Genomic DNA, 21,106 nt, shown 5'->3' with positions numbered 1-21,106 from the left:
ATCCATGTCCCTACACAGGACATGAACTCATCATTTTTTATGGCTGCATAGTATTCCATGGTGTATATGTTCCACATATTCTTAATCCAGACTATCATTGTTGGACATTTGCGTTGGTTCCATGTCTTTGCTATTGTGAATAGTGCCGCAGTAAACATACGTGTGCATGTGTCTTTACAGTAGCATGATTTATAGTCCTTTGGGTATATACCCAGTAATGGGATGGCTGGGTCAAATGGTATTTCTAGTTCTAGATCCCTGAGGAATCGCCACACTGACTTCCACAATGGTTGAACTAGTTTACAGTCCCACCAACAGTGGAAAAGTGTTCCTATTTCTCCACATCCTCTCCAGCACCTGTTGTTTCCTAACTTTTTAATGATTGCCACTCTAACTGGTGTGAGATGGTGTCTCATTGTGGTTTTGATTTGCATTTCTCTGATAGCCAGTGATGGTGAGAATTTTTTCATCTGTTTTTTGGCTGCATAAATGTCTTCTTTTGAGAAGTGTCTGTTCATGTCCTTTGCCCAATTTTTGATGGGGTTGTTTGTTTTTTTCTTGTAAATTTGTTTGAGTTCATTGTAGATTCTGCATATTAGCCCTTTGTCAGATGAGTAGGTTGCAAAAATTTTCTCCCATATTGTAGGTTGCCTGTTCACTCTGATGGTAGTTTCTTTTGCTGTGCAGAAGTTCTTTAGTTTAATTAGGTCCCATTTGTCAATTTTGGCTTTTGTTGCCATTGCTTTTGGTGTTTTGGACATGAAGTCCTTGCCCATGGCTATGTCCTGAATGGTAATGCCTAGGTTTTCTTCTAGGGTTTTTATGGTTTTAGGTCTAACGTTTAAGTCTTTAATCCATCTTGAATTAATTTTTGTATAAGGTGTAAGGAAGGGGTCCAGTTTCAGCTTTCTACATATGGCTAGCCAGTTTTCCCAGCACCATTTAGTAAATAGGGAATCCTTTCCCCGTTGCTTGTTTTTCTCAGGTTTGTCAAAGATCAGATAGTTGTAGATATGTGGCGTTATTTCTGAGGGCTCTGTTCTGTTCCATTGATCTATATCTCTGTTTTGGTACCAGTACCATGCTGTTTTGGTTACTGTAGCCTTGTAGTATAGTTTGAAGTCAGGTAGCATGATGCCTCCAGCTTTGTTCTTTTGGCTTAAGATTGACCTGGTGATGCGGGCTCTTTTTTGGTTCCATATGAACTTTAAAGTAGTTTTTTCCAATTCTGTGAAGAAAGTCATTGGTAGCTTGATGGGGATGGCATTGAATCTATAAATTACCTTGGGCAGTATGGCCATTTTCATGATATTGATTCTTCCTACCAATGAGCATGGAATGTTCTTCCATTTGTTTGTATCCTCTTTTATTTCATTGAGCAGTGGTTTGTAGTTCTCCTTGAAGAGGTCCTTCACGTCCCTTGTAAGTTGGATTCCTAGGTATTTTATTCTCTTTGAAGCAATTGTGAATGGGCATTCACTCATGATTTGGCTCTCTGTTTGTCTGTTATTGGTGTATAATAATGCTTGTGATTTTTGTACATTGATTTTGTATACTGAGACTTTGCTGAAGTTGCTTATCAGCTTAAGGAGATTTTGGGCTGAGACAGTGGGGTTTTCTAGATATACAATCATGTCATCTGCAAACAGGGACAATTTGACTTCTTCTTTTCCTAATTGAATACACTTTATTTCCTTCTCCTGCCTAATTGCCCTGGCCAGAACTTCCAACACTATGTTGAACAGGAGTGGTGAGAGAGGGCATCCCTGTCTTGTGCCAGTTTTCAAAGGGGATGCTTCCAGTTTTTGCCATTCAGTATGATATTGGCTGTGGGTTTGTCATAGATGGCTCTTATTATTTTGAGATACGTCCCATCAATCACTGTCAACATTAGACAGATCAACGAGACAGAAAGTTAACAAGGATACCCAGGAATTGAACTCAGCTCTGCACCAAGCAGACCTAATAGACATCTACAGAACTCTCCACCACAAATCAACAGAATATAAATTTTTTCAGCACCGCACCACACCTATTCCAAAATTGACCACATAGTTGGAAGTAAAGCTCTCCTCAGCAAATGTAAAAGAACAGAAATTATAACAAACTGTCTCTCAGACCACAGTGCAATCAAACTAGAACTGAGGATTAAGAAACTCACTCAAAACCGCTCAACTACATGGAAACTGAACAACCTGCTCCTCAATGACTACTGTGTACATAACGAAATGAAGGCAGAAATAAAGATGTTCTTTGAAACCAATGAGAACAAAGACACAACATACCAGAATCTCTGGGACACATTCAAAGCAGTGTGTAGAGGGAAATTTATAGCACTAAATGCCCACAAGAGAAAGCAGGAAAGATCCAAAATTGACACCCTAACATCACAATTAAAAGAACTAGAAAAGCAAGAGCAAACACATTCAAAAGCTAGCAGAAGGCAAGAAATAACTAAAATCAGAGCAGAACTGAAGGAAACAGAGACACAAAAAACCCTTCAAAAAATTAATGAATCCAGGAGCTAGTTCTTTGAAAGGATCAACAAAATTGATAGACCGCTAGCAAGACTAATGAAGAAGAAAAGAGAGAAGAATCAAATAGATGCAATAAAAAATGATAAAGGGGATATCAACACTGATCCCACAGAAATACAAACTACCATCAGAGAATACTACAAACACCTCTATGCAAATAAACTAGAAAACCTAGAAAAAATGGATAAATTCCTCGACATATACACCCTCCCAAGACTAAACCAGGAAGAAGTTGAATCTCTGAATAGACCAATACCAGGCTCTGAAATTGTGGCAATAATCAATAGCTTACCAACCAAAAAGAGTCCAGGACCAGATGGATTCACAGCCGAATTCTACCAGAAGTACAAGGAGGAACTGGTACCATTCCTTCTGAAACTATTCCAATCAATAGAAAAAGAGAGAATCCTCCGTAACTCATTTTATGAGGCCAGCATCATCCTGATACCAAAGCCGGGCATAGACACAACCAAAAAAGAGAATTTTGGACCAATATCCTTGATGAACATTGATGCAAAAATCCTCAATAAAATACTGGCAAACCGAATCCAGCAGCACATCAAAAAGCTTATCCACCATGATCAAGTGGGCTTCATCCCTGGGATGCAAGGCTGGTTCAATATACGCAAATCAATAAATGTAATCCAGCATATAAACAGAACCAAAGACAAAAACCACATGTTTATCTCAATAGATGCAGAAAAGGCCTTTGACAAAATTCAACAACCCTTCATGCTAAAAACTCTCAATAAATGAGTGACCAATTTCTTACACTCTTCACAATACTCTGTATTACAACTTTGTTTCACATATTGTCTTTGACAACGTGATAGGTGTAAATGGTATGGCTTTTTTTTTTATTTACATTTTTTGGATAATTCGTGATTTGACTATTTTATGCTTATTAGTTATTTACCCTTTTTATTTTGTGCATCTCCTGTGTGCCTCATGACATTTTTATTGGAGTATATGTTAATTTTAGTAATATTTTATTAAGTATATAAAGGGAAAAGATCAAAGGGTGAGAGACTTATTTTTGGAAAACATCCACAGTCGTGAGTATACAATAAATCAGGACTCAAAAGAGGTAAATGAGGAATGAGGACAGCCTTGCATACGGAAACAACTGGCAATGTTTCTCCAGGAAGAGTATAGAAGGTTATGGGCAGGAATAACGGGGAGAAAGTCTGTTGATTTGGTAGTGGGAGAATCATAAATGATCCCTGAGCATAAGTAAAGCCTACTATTGATGTTTTCTTACATTCTGAGATTACTTTTGGCTCCACTGAGTTTGGCATTGTCCTCTGCAGCCCTATGCAGCTGGCACAACTAGGAAATTATGAACTTGACAGAAAGATGCCAGCAAATTTCTGCAGAGTAAGAGACGCAGTCTTGCACCCAGCCAGGAGAAGGATTTCCTGGCATTCAGAGACCCTCAGCATGAGTTTCATGAGGCCTTCAAGTTGTCCCTTCTACCTTCCTCATGTGACTTTATTACCTTCCTGACTTTCCCAGCTGGCTGGCTATAGCCTCTGCCAGTACATCAGGTGGAAGAAACTAGTAGCAATTACTGCTTTTCCTTAATTATTCCTGTAACACTAGGAAAGTTTGTTGTCTAATTCACAGCAATAGGCCCAGAACCTACATCTTCTCAGGCTTTCTTCAAATGTTATTTCACTGTAATTTATAACATTTACTGAACCATTTAAAAACATTTAAAAAATAATAATATTTTCCCTATGAATCATTTCCTTTTTTTTTTTTTGCTCTGTCACCCAGGATGGAGTGCAGTGGCGTGATCTTGGCTCACTGCAACCTCCACCTCCCAGGTTCAAGCAGTTCTCCTGCCTCAGCCTCCTGAGTAGCTGGGACTACAGGTGCATGCCACCACGCCTGGCTAATTTTTTTTGTATTTTTAGCAGAGACGGGATTTCACCGTGTTAGCCAGGATGGTCTCAATCTCCTGACGGCGTGATCCGTCTGCCTTGGCCTCCCAAAGTGCTGAGATTATAGGCGTGAGCCATCATGCCCGGCCCTATGCATCATTTCTATATTTATGTATTTTCTTGTCTTCTCTCTCTTTTCTTCTCCCTTTATCTTTTTCTCACATCTTTGTTTCACTTTTTAAAAAATTCCAACTTCCATTTTAGATTCAGTTGGTACATGTGCAGGTTTGTTACATGGGTATATTGCATGATGCTGAGGTTTGGGGTACAATTGATCCTGTCACCCAAGTAGTGAGCATAGTGCCCAATAGGTAGCTTTCAACCCTTGCCACCTCCCTCCCTGCCCTGGCAGTCCCCGGTGCCTGTTGTTTTTTATGTCCATGTGTACTCAAGCTTTAGCTTCCACTTATAAATCTCACATCTTCTTTTTTCATGCCCATACTAAAAGAGTTATAGGTATCTCATGTACACACAAGCACAAAAAAGTCATGCTTTTCACAATATACAGAAACGGCTTTAAAAGGTTTTAAATCTGTCAGTGGTAATTGTTTCTGACAATAAAACTGTGGACTTTTTCTAGCTATAGCTCCCATCCTGCAGGTCCACTGATCCTTAGAAAAGAGAATGCAAGAGAAAGGATTCTCTCATCCATGTATTCCCTTCTTGGTCACATATGTCAGAAATATTCATATCTCAAATGGCAAACATGCTGTTCTCACCACTTGAATATTTTCTTATTCCATATTTCCTCATTCCACTCCATTTCTGAAGTAGAGAATTGGCATTATACAGAAGAAAAAGTATGTGCTCAAGCTCCATCCAAATCCAGTTTTGCTGCTTAATAGTTCTGTGACCCTGGAGAAGTTAACTGAACTCTCTTGGCCTCAATTTCTTTATCTATAATGTGGATTTTTTAAAAAGCTGCCTTACATTTCATTTGGAGGAAATATGAATTGCTTAACAACTGTCAGCTCCCTACCGCCTACAAATCTAGGAATTATCTATTATAGCCGAAAATTCAAATAGCATGAGCCTAAATATGGAAGTATACCAAATTGTATCATAATGCAAAGATAATTTTGAATCAGTCTAATTGCTTAGGATTGTGATATATTCCTTCCATATTTTAATTTGTAATGTACGTTCCTCTTCGATTCTTAATAGTTTTATTTCTATTGCTTTAATTACAGGGTCTCACTCTGTCACCCAGGCTGGAGTGCAGTGGCGTGATCATGGCTCACTCCAGCCTTGACCGCCTGGGTTCAAGAGATCCTCCCACCTCAGCCTCCTGAATAGCTGGGGCTACAGGTACATGCCATCATGCCTGGCTATTTTTTTTTTAATTTTTTTTTAGAGATGGAGTCTCACTATGTTGCCTAGGCTGGTCTTGAATGCCTGGCCTCAAGTGATCTTCCCACCTCAGCTTTCCAAAGTGTTGAGATTACAGGTGTGAGGCACCACGCCTGGCCTCTTAATAGTTTTAAAATAATTTTCAAATGTCTCTTATTGTCATACTCTATAATACTTATGTATATGAAGTTTTTGAAGAGTATTTTGCTCTTCAAGCAGAAGTCTCTGATATTTGAGCTTGAAAAAGTTAGTAAAATCTGTCAACTATGCTGTCAGGCACAGTAGCAAGATTTATATCTACTTATACAATACTCCCATGCCATGAAAAAGAAGCTTTAGTCTTTCAAACTACACTACTATGTCAATTAAGAATAATATTGATAATGAATATGGATAAGTTAATTCACTCATAATTTACTTAGGTCATATAACTAATTACAGATTATAGATAACTACAGTTAAGCTGATCATGAAACCAAGTCAAATGGGTGGTCTACAGAGTAATCTCACAGTTCAAATCTGTATGCTGTCCTAAGAGCCTGAAGCTAAACAGAAGCAATATTGGTTCATTGTACATAGATATAGAGTCTCTTCTCTTGGCTTAATTTTGCTCTTTTCTACAATTACCTTTTATAAGGCAGATAGAGAGATTAGGGTGAGAAGGGATGGTGGGGGCTTGACTACATAGTAAAATTGAATTCAAATTTGTTCTTCAGAACATACTGTCACCTTAAGTTTGAAAGTAAGGCAGAGAGTTAGAAGTCCAAGGTAACCCCAAAGTTGTGTTCAGAAAGAACTACCTGGAAGAAAGTCTCCTTATACACTGAAGATGGATTAGAGTCTTACCCAAGCAAAAGTAACAAAGGAGGCATAATGACAATAAGTCTCAAAACTGTGAACTGCATTTTTCTGATCTTTGCCAGCATATCAAGAGACATTGTTTTGTGCTGTGTGAAATCAGCTCAAGGGCAGGGATGAATATAAGCTCATAGTTCACACTCATCTATCTCCTTCTCATGAATACATGTTATTTTATAAAAGGAAAATTGAATATATCTTTTTTGGTATATTTTATTAACATTGTATAAAGTGACAAAAGCTAGGTTTATTTTGTTTTAACTTTGATCATCTTTGAGGTAGGGTCTTAATTACTTTTCATTCACCAAAGTAACATTTTCTCTATTTTTTATTTTTATTTTAACTTTTATTTTAGGTTCAGGGGTACATGTGCAGGTTTATTACATAGGTGAACTCATGTAACAGGGGTTTGCTGTACAGATTATTTCATCACCCAGGTACTAAGCCCTAGTGCCCAATAGTTATTTCTGCTGCGTTCATCCTCCCACTCTCCACCCTCTGGTAGGACCCTATGTCTGCTGTTCCCTTCTTTCTGTCCATGAATTCTCATCATTTAGCTCCCACTTACAAGTGAGAACATGTAGTATTTGGTTTTTGGTTTTTGAGTTAGTTTGCTAAGGATAATGACCTCCAGCTCCATCCATGTCCCCACAAAAGACATAATCTCATTCTTTTTTATGGCTGAATAGTATTCCATGGTGTATTTATACTACATTATTTTAATCCAGTCTCTCATGGATGGGCATTTAGGTAGATTACATTTCTATTCTATTGTGAATATGGTCTTTTCTATTGTGAACTGTGCTACAATGAACATACATGTGCATATGTCTTTATGGTAGAAGGATTTACGTTCCTTTGGATATATACCCAGTAATGAGATTGGTGGATCGAATGGCAGTTCTGTTTTTAGCTCTTTGAGGAATCACCACACTGCTTTCCACAATGGTTGAACTAACCAAAAATGGTTGAACTGAGCCAAAAACGGTGAATAAGCATTCCCTTTTCTCTGCAACTTTGCCAGCATCTGTTATGGTTTGACTTTGTAATAGCCATTCTGACTGGTGTGAGATGGTATCTCATTGTGGTTTTGATTTGCATTTCTCTATGATCAGTGATGTTCAGCTCTTTTTAATATGATGGTTGGCTGCATGTATGTCTTCTTTTGAAAAGTATCTGTTTATGTTCTTTGCCTACTTTTTAATGGGGTCGTTTGCTTTTTTTCTTGTAAATTTTTTAAGTTCCTTATAGATGCTGGATAGTAGAACTTTGTCAGATGCATAGTTTGCAAATATAATATTTTCTCCCATTCTGTAGGTTGTCTGTTTACTCTGTTGATAGTTTATTTTGCAATGCAGAGCTCTTTAGATTAATTAGATCTCATTTGTCAATTTTTACTTTTGTTGCAATTGCTTTTGGCATCCTTATCATGAAATATTTGCCCATACTTATGTAAAGAATGGTATTGCCTAGGTTGTCTTCTAGGATTTTTATAGATTTTGGTTATATTTTCATTTTTTAATCCATCTTGAGTTTATTTTTATGTATTGTGTAAGGAAGTTTCAATCTTCTGCTTATGGTTAGCCCATTATCCCAGCAGCATTTATTGAATAGAAAGTCCTTTCTCCATTGCTTGTTTTTGTCAGCTATGTTGAAGATCAAATTGTTGTATATATGTGACCTCATTTCTGGGCTCTCTGTTCTGTTCCATTGGTATATGTGTCTGTTTTTGTACTAGCATCATGCTGTTTTGGTTATTGTAGCCCTACAGTATAGTTTGAAGTCAGATAGCATGATGCCTCCTGCTTTGCTCTTTTTGCTTAGGACTGTCTTCACTATTTGAGCTCTTTTTTGGTTCTATATGAATTTTGAAACATTATTTGCTATTTCTGTAATGAACATCTTTAGTAGTTTGATGACAACAGCATTGAATCTGTAAATTGCTTTGGGCAGTATCACCATTTTAGTGATATTGATTCATCTTATCCATGAACTTAGAATATTTTTCCATTTGTTTGTGTCATCTCTGATTTATTTTAGCAGTGTTTTGTAATTCTCTTTGTAGAGATCTTTTACTTCCCTGGTTAGCTATATGTCTAGGTAAAATTTCTTATTTTTTTAACATCTTATAGTAAGACCCTTTTATAATGAAAAATTAATATATGGTAAAGTTTAGTAAAGCCAATATTTCTCAGCAATTAATGAATTCATAAGAAAGGGAAAAACTGAGGAGGTGTGTCTGGAACTAATTACATGTGAAAAAAGGGTAGATTCTTTATGAGCGGAGGAAAGAATGAAAATCATTATTAGTAGATAAAAGAGATAGGAAAGATGAGGAGAAAGGGAGGGAAATAGGGAAGAAGGCAGAAAGCAGAAATGAAAGAAAATTTACATAGACATAAAGGCAGAGATATGTATGTAATGCAGGCATTTAGTAGATAGAGAAGCACCTATTTAGAGCAGACTTGTGTTTTAGAATTTTGTTTTTTACTTACTTTTTCTTCATGGAGTGAACTGGAGAAGGATAGAAGAGGTTTCTAGTTTCAGCCACTTCCAAAAGAGGCAGACTCGATCTTTCAGAAGTAACTCTGGCATCTGGGTTACAGTTTTAAGACGGACATTGAAAATTTGCAAGGTAAAAATAAGTTTCCCACTAAGGTATGTACTAGATATCAATAAGATTTTATAGTTTAAATAGATCATATTCAGTGGTATTTTTAATAAGATTTCTTTTGATTTGGTATACTGCTAATCGAGCTTTAACTTAGCTGATACAACAAATCAATAAACTCAGTTTCAAACTCAAAAACTATGACTTCTTAAATTTTTTTGCATTGCAAAAATAATACAGGTACTTTAGACTCTTTTCACTTGTGCAAAAATTTTTAATGACAATAGCTACTATCCACATGGGAGAATTTAGTGGATAATAATAACATCTGAAAAATATTCCAAATATACCAATAAGAGTAATTAAAAGGGATTTATCTTATTTATTCTTTCCATACAGCTATGTTGCTCACATTGGGAAGCAAAACTTCCCATATCAGACAATATTATCTGATAAACTCACCACTTCTAAAATTAATACCCATTCAAGCATCTCTCCCCATTTAAATCTTTATCTGCCCATTACATAAGGCTTTGATCAATGTTTACATGGTTGCCTGATCTTGCAAAAAAAATTGATGAAGTAATTTTAAAACAGCCAAAAATTGATTAAAAAGTAACAGTATAAATCTTTAGTGATAAATTGATTAAAAAGTAAAAGTATAAATCTTGCAATAGACATGGTATTATAGAGTGTTGATAAAGTGAGTTTAGGTAATTGCTTGACAAACCATATCCCAAAGCCTTTGACAAGGGAGAGAATTTCAGAGTTAGATAAGTTAGAACTTGAAGAAAAGCAAATAGCAAGGGTGATGAGTCAGTTGTTACTTCATAATAGAATTACTTAAGAACCAAAAAACTCTGTGAAGAAAGTCATTGGTAGCTTGATGGGGATGACATTGAATCTATAAATTACCTTGGGTAGTATTGCCATTTTCACGATATTGATTCTTCCTACCCATGAGCATGGAATGTTCTTCCATTTGTTTGTATCCTCTTTTATTTCATTGAGCAGTGGTTTGTAGTTCTCCTTGAAGAGGTCCTTCACGTCCCTTTTAAGTTGGATTCCTAGGTATTTTATTCTCTTTGAAGCAATTGTGAATGGGAGTTCACTCATGATTTGGCTCTCTGTCTGTTACTGGTGTATAAGAATGCTTGTGATTTTTGTACATTGATTTTGTATCTTGAGACTTTGTTGAAGTTGCCTATCAGCTTAAGGAGATTTTGGGCTGAGACGATGGGGTTTTCTAGATATACAATCATGTCGTCTGCAAACAGGGACAATTTGACTTCCTCTTTTCCTAATTGAATACCCTTTATTTCCTTCTCCTGCCTGATTGCCCTGGCCAGAACTTCCAGCAGTATGTTGAATAGGAGTGGTGAGAGAGGGCATCTGTGTCTTGTGCCAGTTTTCAAAGAGAATGCTTCCAGTTTTCACCCATTCAGTATGATATTGGCTGTGGGTTTGTCATAGATAGCTCTTATTATTTTGAGGTATGTCCCATCAATACCTAATTTATTGAGAGTTTTTAGCATGAAGTGTTGTTGAATTTTGTCAGAGGCCTTTTCTGCATCTATTGAGATAATCGTGTGGTTTTTGTCATTGGTTCTGTTTATATGCTGGATTATGTTTATTGATTTGCATATGTTGAACCAGCCTTGCATCCCAGGGATGAAGCCCACTTGATCATGGTGGATAAGCTTTTTGATGTGCTGCTGGATTCAGCTTGCCTGTGTTTTATTGAGGATTTTTGCATCAATGTTCATCAGGGATATTGGTCTAAAATTCTCTTTTTTTGTGTCTCTGCCAGGCTTTGGTATCAGGATGATGCTGGCCTCATAAAATGAGTTAGGGAGGATTCCCTCTTTGAGAAATGCAAATCAAAACCACAATGAGATACCATCTCACACTAGTTAGAATGGCGATCATTAAAAAGTCAGGAACAACAGGTGCTGGAGAGGATGTGGAGAAATAGGAACACTTTTACACTGTTGGTGGGACTGTAAACTAGTTCAACCATTGTGGAAGTCAGTGTGGCGATTCCTCAGGGTATTTCTAGAACTAGAAATACCATTTGACCCAGCCATCCCATTACTGGGTATATACCCAAAGGATTATAAAACATGCTGCTATAAAGACACATGCACATGTATGTTTATTGTGGCACTATTCACAATAGCAAAGACTTGGAACCAACCCAAATGTCCAACAGTGATAGACTGGATTAAGAAAATGTGGCACATATACACTATGGAATACTATGCAGCCATAAAAAGTGATGAGTTCATGTCCTTTGTAGGGACATGGATGAAGCTGGAAACCATCATTCTCAGCAAACTATCGCAAGGACAAAAACCCAAACAACGCATGTTCTCACTCATAGGTGGGAATTGAGCAATGAGAACACATGGACACAGGAAGGGGAACATCACACACCAGGGCGTGTTGTGGGGTTGGGGGAGGGGGGAGGGATAGCATTAGGAGATATACCTAAGGTTAAATGACAAGTTAATGGGTGCAGCACACCAACATGGCACATATATACATATGTAACTAACCTGCACGTTGTGCACATGTACCCTAAAACTTAAAGTATAATAAAAAATAAATAAATAAATAAATAAGAACAAAAAAACTAACTCTTTGGAAAGTTAATGAATTAATACATATGTGTGTAAAACTCAAGCTCATTAAGATCACGTTGGAAAAGTTTAAAGATAAGTAAAGGTTGCCACATGTGATTTTACAGAATGGTTGAAAAATTATGTGCTAACTCATCCCCCAAAATTCACAAATTCTTTTTTCATGTCTAAAAATTAGTATGCAGTGGCAATAGCTTTATTGTTTTGTGGTAAATATGCTTATTTTCATAAATTTTGATTTAATTTCTCATGACAGACACCAACCATTTTTTCATTTGGTAGCATGAAAACATAATTATTCAATTATAGCAGATTTATTTTTGTTTTTTCCTGTTACTAATTATTTCAGTTTATAAAGATGTATTGCACGTCAATATACATATTAGTTTCTAATTTCTGTTACAATATCTTATTCATAAAATAGAATTAGTTGTAAAAGTAGTACGGAATAGTGGTTTGGTATAGACAGCAAGTAGTACTGAATAGTGGTTTGGTATAGACAGCAGAAGCAGCCTGGTGGGTTTCAAATCCCATATCCACCATTACTTGTAGTCCAACATTAAGCAAGTAACTTCTTCTTGCTTCAGTTTTCTCATCTGTAAGATGGGGCTAATATTAGCAACTACTCAAAGGCTTGTTTTAAAGATTAAAGAGTCACTATCCAGTAAACGTATTTATAACAGTGTCTGAACTATAGTAACTGTTATAAGAGTAAAGTTGAAAATGAGCTTTAAGTCATATATATTAGCATATCTACTATTCCTTAAACTGATGGTTCCTGTTCCTCTCTTAGATCACGGCCTTCTCTATTTTACTAATTCTTCCCTCTCTCCTATTTCTGAATATCTTCTACCACTACTTTACTACTTTAGTGAACTAAATCCCAAAATAATTTTGTTAATTTGCCCTAGATGTTGGAATTCTAATCTAACATCAGATTTTTGGAAATCTTCATAACTCACTCCATTTTTTAAATGACTCAAAATAAAAAGTATCACTTTAGTCATTGTACAAATATCCTATTTAGAATGATTATAAAACATCTTTCTTCCTTGAATTTGTAAAAAAATCATTCTCTAAATAAAGGAATTATCCATTAGAGAGATACAGGTTTAGCAAATAAAAATATAAGACACTATTAAATTCCAATATGAGATAAACAATATTTTTTTCATATAAGTATAACCCATGCAATATACTTTGGCTGAAAAATAGCTGTTATTTATCTGAGATTCTAATTTAACTGTACATATGTCTTCAATCTCACAAACTTAAATAGAGCTGGAAAAAATCTGTTAAAAACTTTTAAAATCAATTATATTGTATAAGCACATACATTTCTAATGGAATTACATTAAGCAGATATAGTTTTTGTCTAATTTCAATTCTTGCATGAATAGCATCTGAATTTTGCTCTATCATTGATGCAAGAGTAATGAGCTTCACCTTTTGTTTATAAAAAGTTCATAATTTCAAAAAATATTTCCGTATTATGTATATAGTAGCTTGAAATTATACCATCTACTGACTTTTTTTAAATAATGGAAACTTAAAACCCAATAAAAAAAATCACACCTTGCAAAAATGAGTCTTGAGGCTAGAATTCTGCTTTTTCTGTGTTAAAATACTTTGGCGAAAATGAAAAGAGATATTATATAAATAGCACTTTGTCTCAGAGGTGAATTTTGCTAGAGCAGGTATATAATACCATTAATCACTTCAATGGTGTTATAACACAGGCTTTCCAAGTCAACTTCCTTGATTTAAGTAATATCATTTAAAAGGCTACTTGACTATCAACTAGCTCTTGCCAAACATTATTTTGATTAGCAAAATTGGAGAATAATTCGCAGGACTTTCACAGATGGCTATTCACATTCTAAGTGCGTATCGGTGCTTTCCATTTTCATCTAGTCTCTGACTTGGAGAAAATTTAATAGAAATTTTTCTAAATCTAAGCAAAAAGTTTGATATTTGCATGTCTCTGGTTACCCAATAGTAGAAAGATCATCTATATCATATTCTCCTAGAGAGAATCAGAGCAGCAATAGCCCTATAAATGATATGATTATGGGACACCAGCAAGTCCCCATCAGCTCTGATAGAGCTGTTCCATCTCCACCTCCATGTTAACACCTTTCTACCCTAACTTCAAATAGTGGCATCACTCCTGAAGACAGAGAGAAAAGGCATCTGTATTGTCTCTAAATTTCACTGTTAAGGCATAACCACATAACAGTAACGGGGAGCTATAGCCTTTAGCTTTCTTATCAATTCACACAGTAATTGATATTATATTATTATACTACTTATAAGGGTGAGCCAAAAATGTCTATGGATGAAAGAAAGAAAAGCATTCCAACAAAGAGTTTGGAGCTCCTGTGAGGAAAGGGGGAGGAAAAGAAAGGCCTCAATAGATCACTGAAGTGTGGTGTCATGATCTCGTGGGGTCAGCAGAAACCAGTGCAGAAGACAGGAATTAGCTGGACCCCCACACATCAGAACTCTTAGTTAATCTAAGGGCCTGTCTTACTCTTTTCAACTCCATCCTGTCATTTTTCCGTGGCCCTTCTGACCTTGATACTCACCTTACCACTACCTCAACTATATTTGCTATATAAAGAGAAAGTGAGAATAGAACCATGCTAAAATAATTCCTTACTGAGACCACTAAGATCACAGAACTAATAAGTCAGAGTTGAAATTTAAATTTAGGTCTGTATGATCCAAAGCAAGTACGCTTTCTATTACACCCCACTGCTGAGAGGGAAGACAAAGAATGTGAAACAGCATGGAAGGAATGAATTCTGATACACAGGATGTCTCTAGTATATTAATTGAAATGCATTCATTCCACTTACATTTATCAAGCTCTTAGCTGGCCTTGAATTAAATTAGTGTTAGCCTACATTCTTGAGAAAATCTATACACATTAATTATAGTGGGGCAATACTTCTGAAGTTGCATATTGATGTTCTTTTCTACATGGGTCCTTCTCTTTATACTACTTTATACTACATTTCACGGTCTTTTTACCTCTATTCGCTCTCCTCAATATAACCTTCACCAATTTTGTGAAAAAAATATATATATATATACACACACATATGTATATGTATAAAATAATATATAATGTATGTGTGTGTATATACACATATACATATGCACTAGTTCTATAATGAAAGCTATATGCTGTTCTTGTTTTCATCTTTCTTAGAATAATTCTAGATAAAACTATTTTCAACATGCATTTGAATTATTACCAAAAATATAATAATATTTCAATGTCCTCTGTTTTATTCATAAAGAGCTTTAAATTCTGCTTGTGAGAATCACACTCTTGCTGGGCACACTGGCTCACGCCTGTAATCCCAGCACTTTGGGTGGCCGAGGCAGGTGGATCACCTGAGGTTGGGAGTTCGAGACCAGCCTGACCAACATGGAGAAACCCCATCTCTACTAAAAATACAAAACTAGCCTGGCGTGGTGGCGCATGCCTGTAATCCCAGTTACTTGGGAGGCTGAGGCAGGAGAATCGCTTGAATCCAGGAGGTGGAGGTTGCAATGAGCCGAGATTGTGCCATTGCACTCCAGCCTGGGCAACAAGAGCGAAACTCCGTCTCAAAATAAATAAATAAGTAAATAAAAGAATAACAGTCTTAAATATAGGTCTACCTTATCCTCTGAACGAAACTAGACTCTCCCTAAAATACCAACAACCAGGCCGGGCGCGGTGGCTCACACCTGTAATCCCAGCACTTTGGGGAGGCCAAGGTTGGCGAATCATGAGGCCAAGAGATAGAGACCATCCTGGCCAACACGGTGAAACCCCGTCTGTACTAAAAATACAAAAAAAGTAGCCAGGCATGGTGGCAGGCGCCTGTAGTCCCAGCTACTCGGGAGGCTGAGCCAGGAGAATTGCTTGAACCTGGGAGGCAAAGGTTGCAGTGAGCCGAGATCATGCCACTGCACTCCAGCCCGGGTGACACAGTGAGACTCCATCTCAAAACAAACAAACAAACAAACAAACAAACAAACAAAAACCCAATATCCTAATTTGGAGTGCCTCAGTCATTCCAGGTGTTTCTTCAAATTTTTAGACAACAGGTAACTTTTACTGCTTTGCAATCTGATAATGTTAAATGTATCTCTTTCTTTTCATGCTTATATGTTGACTTGGAAACCCTTAATTTTCCATTTCTTTTTCTCAGTTACACTATATGTGCTTGATCTTCTAGTCTACTTTGTCTAGAAAAATCAATTATATACTCTTGAATGTGACTATCTCAGTGGCTACATAGTATGTAAACCTCAACCATGTTTTCTTTCATTTCTATCTTGAGTCTACTCTCTGATCTCTTTTTTCTCTTTAGTTCCCTCCTCTAGAGATTTTTTTTGGAAAGAAATGTTTCAAAGGCTACCGTTGATTGCTCTTTCGAATTTCATTGTAAGTTAATAAGGATTTATGATAGCCTCCAGCTTAAGACTATTTTTCTCAATAGAAATAGAATCCTTGGCCTGTTAGCATTCCTACCTCATTTAGTTAGCATTGGCAAATAATTTGCTTCAGTATAATAAAGCCGAATATTTTGTATTTTTATTCATCTATAAGAACTGAATATTCAGTTCCGAAGGATTTGACACATTACCATATGCCTTTTTTTCCAGAAGTCATATTATTCGTCTGTTGTGTAGTTGCTATCTAGCCTTAAATGTAGAGCATAAGTTAACAAACTCACCAAAGTTTCCTTTTTTCAAAAAATAGCTTTATTAACATAAAATTCACTGGCTAAAATTCACCCATTTGAAGTAATGCATATGTTAATTTACTCACTGTAGCCATTCCACAATGTATACATATTTCAAAACATCATGTACATAAAAAAAATATATAATTTTATGTGTCAATTTTTAAAAGTATTCATATATTCACAGATGTTGTAACCATTACCACAATCAATTTTAGAGCATTGTATCACCTCAAAAAGAAATTCTATACCCTTTAGCTATTATCTCCTCATCCCCTCATCATTCAACCCCCATTCTCAGCCCTAAGCAACCATTAATCTACACTCTGTCTCTATAGACTTCCTTTCTAGACTTTGATATGAATGGAATAATGTACTATGTGGACTTCAGTGACAGGCATCTTTCACTTAAGGTAGTATCTTCAGCGTTCATCCAAATTGGCAGATATATCAGTACTTCATTTCTTTCTATTCTCCCCTTCCAAAAATGCATTGTATTGACATGCCACTTTGTTTATCCATCTTTCTGTTGATGGATATTTAGATTGTTTTCACCTTTTGGCTATTATGAATTATTATTCAATGCTTACTATAAATATTCATGTATAAGTTTTAATATGGACATGTTTCCATTTCTCTTGCATATAAACCTAGGAGTGGAATTGTTGAGTCATGTGATAACTCTGTTTGTTTGAAGAATTGCCAAACTGTTTTCCAAAGAGATTGCACCATTTAACATTCTTACCAGCATCATATAAGGTTTCTGACTCACTGACACTAGTTATTATCCTACTTTTTGATTCTAGACATCCTAGTGTATCTGAAGTGGCATCTCACTGTGGTTGTGATTTGCTTTCCTTTGCTAACTAATGATGTGGAGCATTCCTCATGTGTTTCTTGGTAATTTGCATATCTTCCTTGGAAAAGTGTCTACTGAGATCTTTTGCCTATTTTTTATTTGGGTTTTTATCTTTTATTATTGAGCTAAAAGTTTTTATATATTCCAAATGTAAGTAATTTAGCAAAGATATGTTTTACAAATATTTCTCCCATTCTGTGGCCTTTTTTCATTTTCTTGATGTCCTTTGAAACACAGAAGTATTTAATTTTGATGACGTTTAATTTATCTTTTGTTTGTTTGCTCTAATTTTGATGAAGTTTAATTTATCTTTTGTTTATTTGTTTGTTTGCTCATGCTTTTCGGTGTCATATGTAAGGACCCTTGGCCAAATCCAAAGTATGGAAGATTTACTCTTGTGTTTCCTCCTAAAAATTTAATAGTTTTAACTCTTACATTCAAGTTTTTGGTCGATTTTTATTTCATTTTTGCTTCTGATCTTAAGAGTCTAATTTCATTCTTTTGTATATAGATATCCACCTATTCCTACATTATTTGTTGGAAAGACTATTCTTTCCCCAACGAATGGTTTAACACTTATATCAAAAATCAGTTGACCATAATTATGTGCATTTATTTCTGGACACTCAATTCTATTGCACTGATTTCCATACCTGTCCTTGTACCAGTATTATATTTTCTTGATTACTGTTATTTGTAGTAAGTTTTAAAGTTAGGAAGTGTGAGTCCCCATACATTTTTCTTCTTTTCTTGGACTGTTTGGCTATCCTACATCTTTTGCAATTTTGCATGAATTTTAGAATAAGCTTATCAATTTCTACAAAGAAGTCAGCTAGGATTCTGACAGAGATTGCCTTGAATCTGTAGATCACTTTGGGGTATACTGCCTTCCTAAACATTTAAGTCTTCTGATCTATGATCTGTGCCTTAATGTCTTTGTCAACTGCAATTCCTTAGGAGATGATTTTTTATTTGTAGTGCAAATATACCTGCCAGGCCACCTGTATAAGTTCGTTTTCATGCTGCTGATAAAGACATACCTGAGAAGAAAAAGAGGTTTAACTGGACTTGCAGTTCCACATGGCTGGGGAGGCCTCAGAAACATGGTGTGAGGTGAAAGGCACTTCTTACTTGGCAGCGGCAAGAGAAAACGAGGAAGATGCAAAAGCAGAATCCCCTGAAAAAATCATCAGATCTCATAAGACTTATTCACTATCACAAGAACAGTACGGGGAAAACCACCCCCGTGATTCAATTATCTCCCCCTCCCCCACAAGTTGGTCCCTCCCCCAACACATGGGAATTATGGGAGTACAAATCAAGATGAGATTTGGGTGGGGACACAGAGCCAAACCATATCACCATCTTATAAAAGTACAGAGTATTTCCTTCTAATGACATGCTTTTTATCTTGTCGACAAATAAGAGGATTGATTTACAAACTTCCCTAGTTCATGTTGTAAAGAAAACAACTTCTGCACAGGAGCTACTTATAAAAATGCACTATATCCCCCTCCCCAAACCTCATCCAGAACAATTCTATATGCTAAAGATGCTTTTAGTATTGGATTATTAGTTTTCCATATGCATCAGCAACCAAAGCTAACAAGCGTCTACCTGCTATCTCACATGGTTTCTGCATTTCCGTACTTTCTTACCCACTTATGTGATGGTTACACATATTAAAGTTACCATACAAATTAGGTGAGGGTCATATTTGACAACTATTGTTCAGTTCGTACTTCGTAAGACTATTATGAAAATATTCTATAGCTTTTGCACATTCCCAAACTCCATGAAGCTCTCTTATCCCTATGTAAATCTCTCATGTGTTCAATTTTGTATTGTGCAAAATTTAATAATTTGGTGTCATATGCCAATGCCTGCAGAAATAAAACTTGAAATTATGGTTTTCAAGTTCCCATTGTTTATCCATGAATTTAATACATAGTTGGGTTTCTCACTTGAATTGTAACTCTGAAAGGATTGTAGCATGCCCACTTTTTATATCAACTTGACACATAAGGGTGAAATTTTATGTACTACTTTTGAGCCTTCCTAGATGGTCTGAAACACACTGGAGAGATCAGAAGGAAAATCATGATGGTTTTGCACAGTGTCCAAGATTGTATTGCAGTTAATGGCACTTGCAAAGTTGGTGGTCTAGTAATTAAGTAAGAATCAATCCACAGCTCATGTGTTTGCATACAGTGGTTCTCAATGAGAAATCCTAAGTGGTCACTTGAACTTTTATGGCAAGGAGTCAAATTCTCTGTAAAATGTGCACAAGCAATTCTTGCTGCCTTCAGCAAGCATAAATCTTATACTGAGTGAAATATTCTCTCTTCCTCTCTGTGGAAATGCTACAAACAATAATTTTTCAACACACTATAATACATTTATAGAATAGAAAGGATAGATGTAAATAGTGTTGAAGGCCAATTCTCATGTCACATAAAATGAATGTGTAAAAGAAACCAGGTGAAATCACTGATTTATCTTTCTGTTTTTGCAAGCTTATGTTTAAATTATTACATCTCAATTGCCTCAAATGTTTTCTTCTACTCTGACTTAAAAAGCAGTTCCAAATTCTATTTAATTTTAGCATTAAACAACTGTGTTGTCGCTGATAAAACATCAATGTAAACTGTGATTTTCCTACTACATTATCCAAGTAAATACAAGTTACAAAATCCACTTATGTACAGAGAGTGGATAAACCCAGGCAAATTTTGATCTAATCTACATTTCTTTGCTCTTTTTAAATGTCTGTGACCAAGATTATTTTAACTTCTTAGATTACTTTTTTTTTACTCTTCTGGCTACCCATGAATAACTACTTCAATGTGATAAGTAATTTAAGCACAACTCTTTCAGACAGTGGTCCTGTACTTTTCATTACATATGTGGATCTTCCTATAGAAAGTAGTTCAGATTTCAATTCTAAATGGTGAATCAAAGTACAGAAATTTAACTTTATTATTGACAAAGAGAAATGTAAATTAATGATTGAAATATGTTCAGCACTGAATGAAAATAAAATCCTACCTCAAAAGTTGGAATGCATATTTTAGTAAATTTATGTAATATTGCATGAAATAAGTAATCGTACAAAATATTGAATGGTTTTATGATAATATAGACACTTAATCCATAGCATTAAAATCCACCCACTTCCCTGATTTGTGGAATGAGATAATGATAACCTCTAAATCACTGGATCATAGTGAGTAATAGAGAAGAATATTATACAAAAAGTATACTATATTTATTTGGAATATTATATCATGTGCTCTCATCTTTTTATTAGACAAAACAATTCTATAACTTTAAAATATGATAGTTAATAAATCCTTATAGTACTAAACAAGCTGAGAAAGTTTGTTACACACTTATAAAACAAGAGCAATATGAAAATGTGTTTAAAAAAGTAAATGTTGCACTAAAAAGTAATTTTTTAATTTTTATTTTATGTTCGGGGATACACGTGCAGGTTTGTTATATAGGTAAACTCATGTCATGGGGGTGTGTATACAGATTATTTTATCACCCATG

General features: G+C 35.6%; 2 long non-coding RNA genes across 3 annotated transcripts in view; one reads left to right on the top strand and one right to left on the bottom strand.

The window, feature by feature from the left end:
* The window catches only part of LOC107984685 (uncharacterized), a 216,619-nt gene that overhangs the window by 182,780 nt on the left and 12,733 nt on the right, over positions 1-21,106 (bottom strand). Inside the window, exon 3 of the long non-coding RNA XR_007064101.1 lies at positions 18,592-18,728. This is a non-coding gene — a long non-coding RNA (uncharacterized LOC107984685). The remainder of the gene's footprint in view (positions 1-18,591; positions 18,729-21,106) is intronic.
* Positions 1-21,106, top strand: part of LINC02326 (long intergenic non-protein coding RNA 2326) — an 89,407-nt gene that overhangs the window by 59,928 nt on the left and 8,373 nt on the right. The window lies entirely within an intron of this gene.

This window comes from Homo sapiens, chromosome 14 (genome assembly GCF_000001405.40).
Source record: "Homo sapiens chromosome 14, GRCh38.p14 Primary Assembly".
Lineage (NCBI taxonomy): Eukaryota > Metazoa > Chordata > Mammalia > Primates > Hominidae > Homo > Homo sapiens.
Note: the sequence above shows the minus strand (reverse complement) of the source record. Positions and strands in the feature narration are given on the sequence as shown.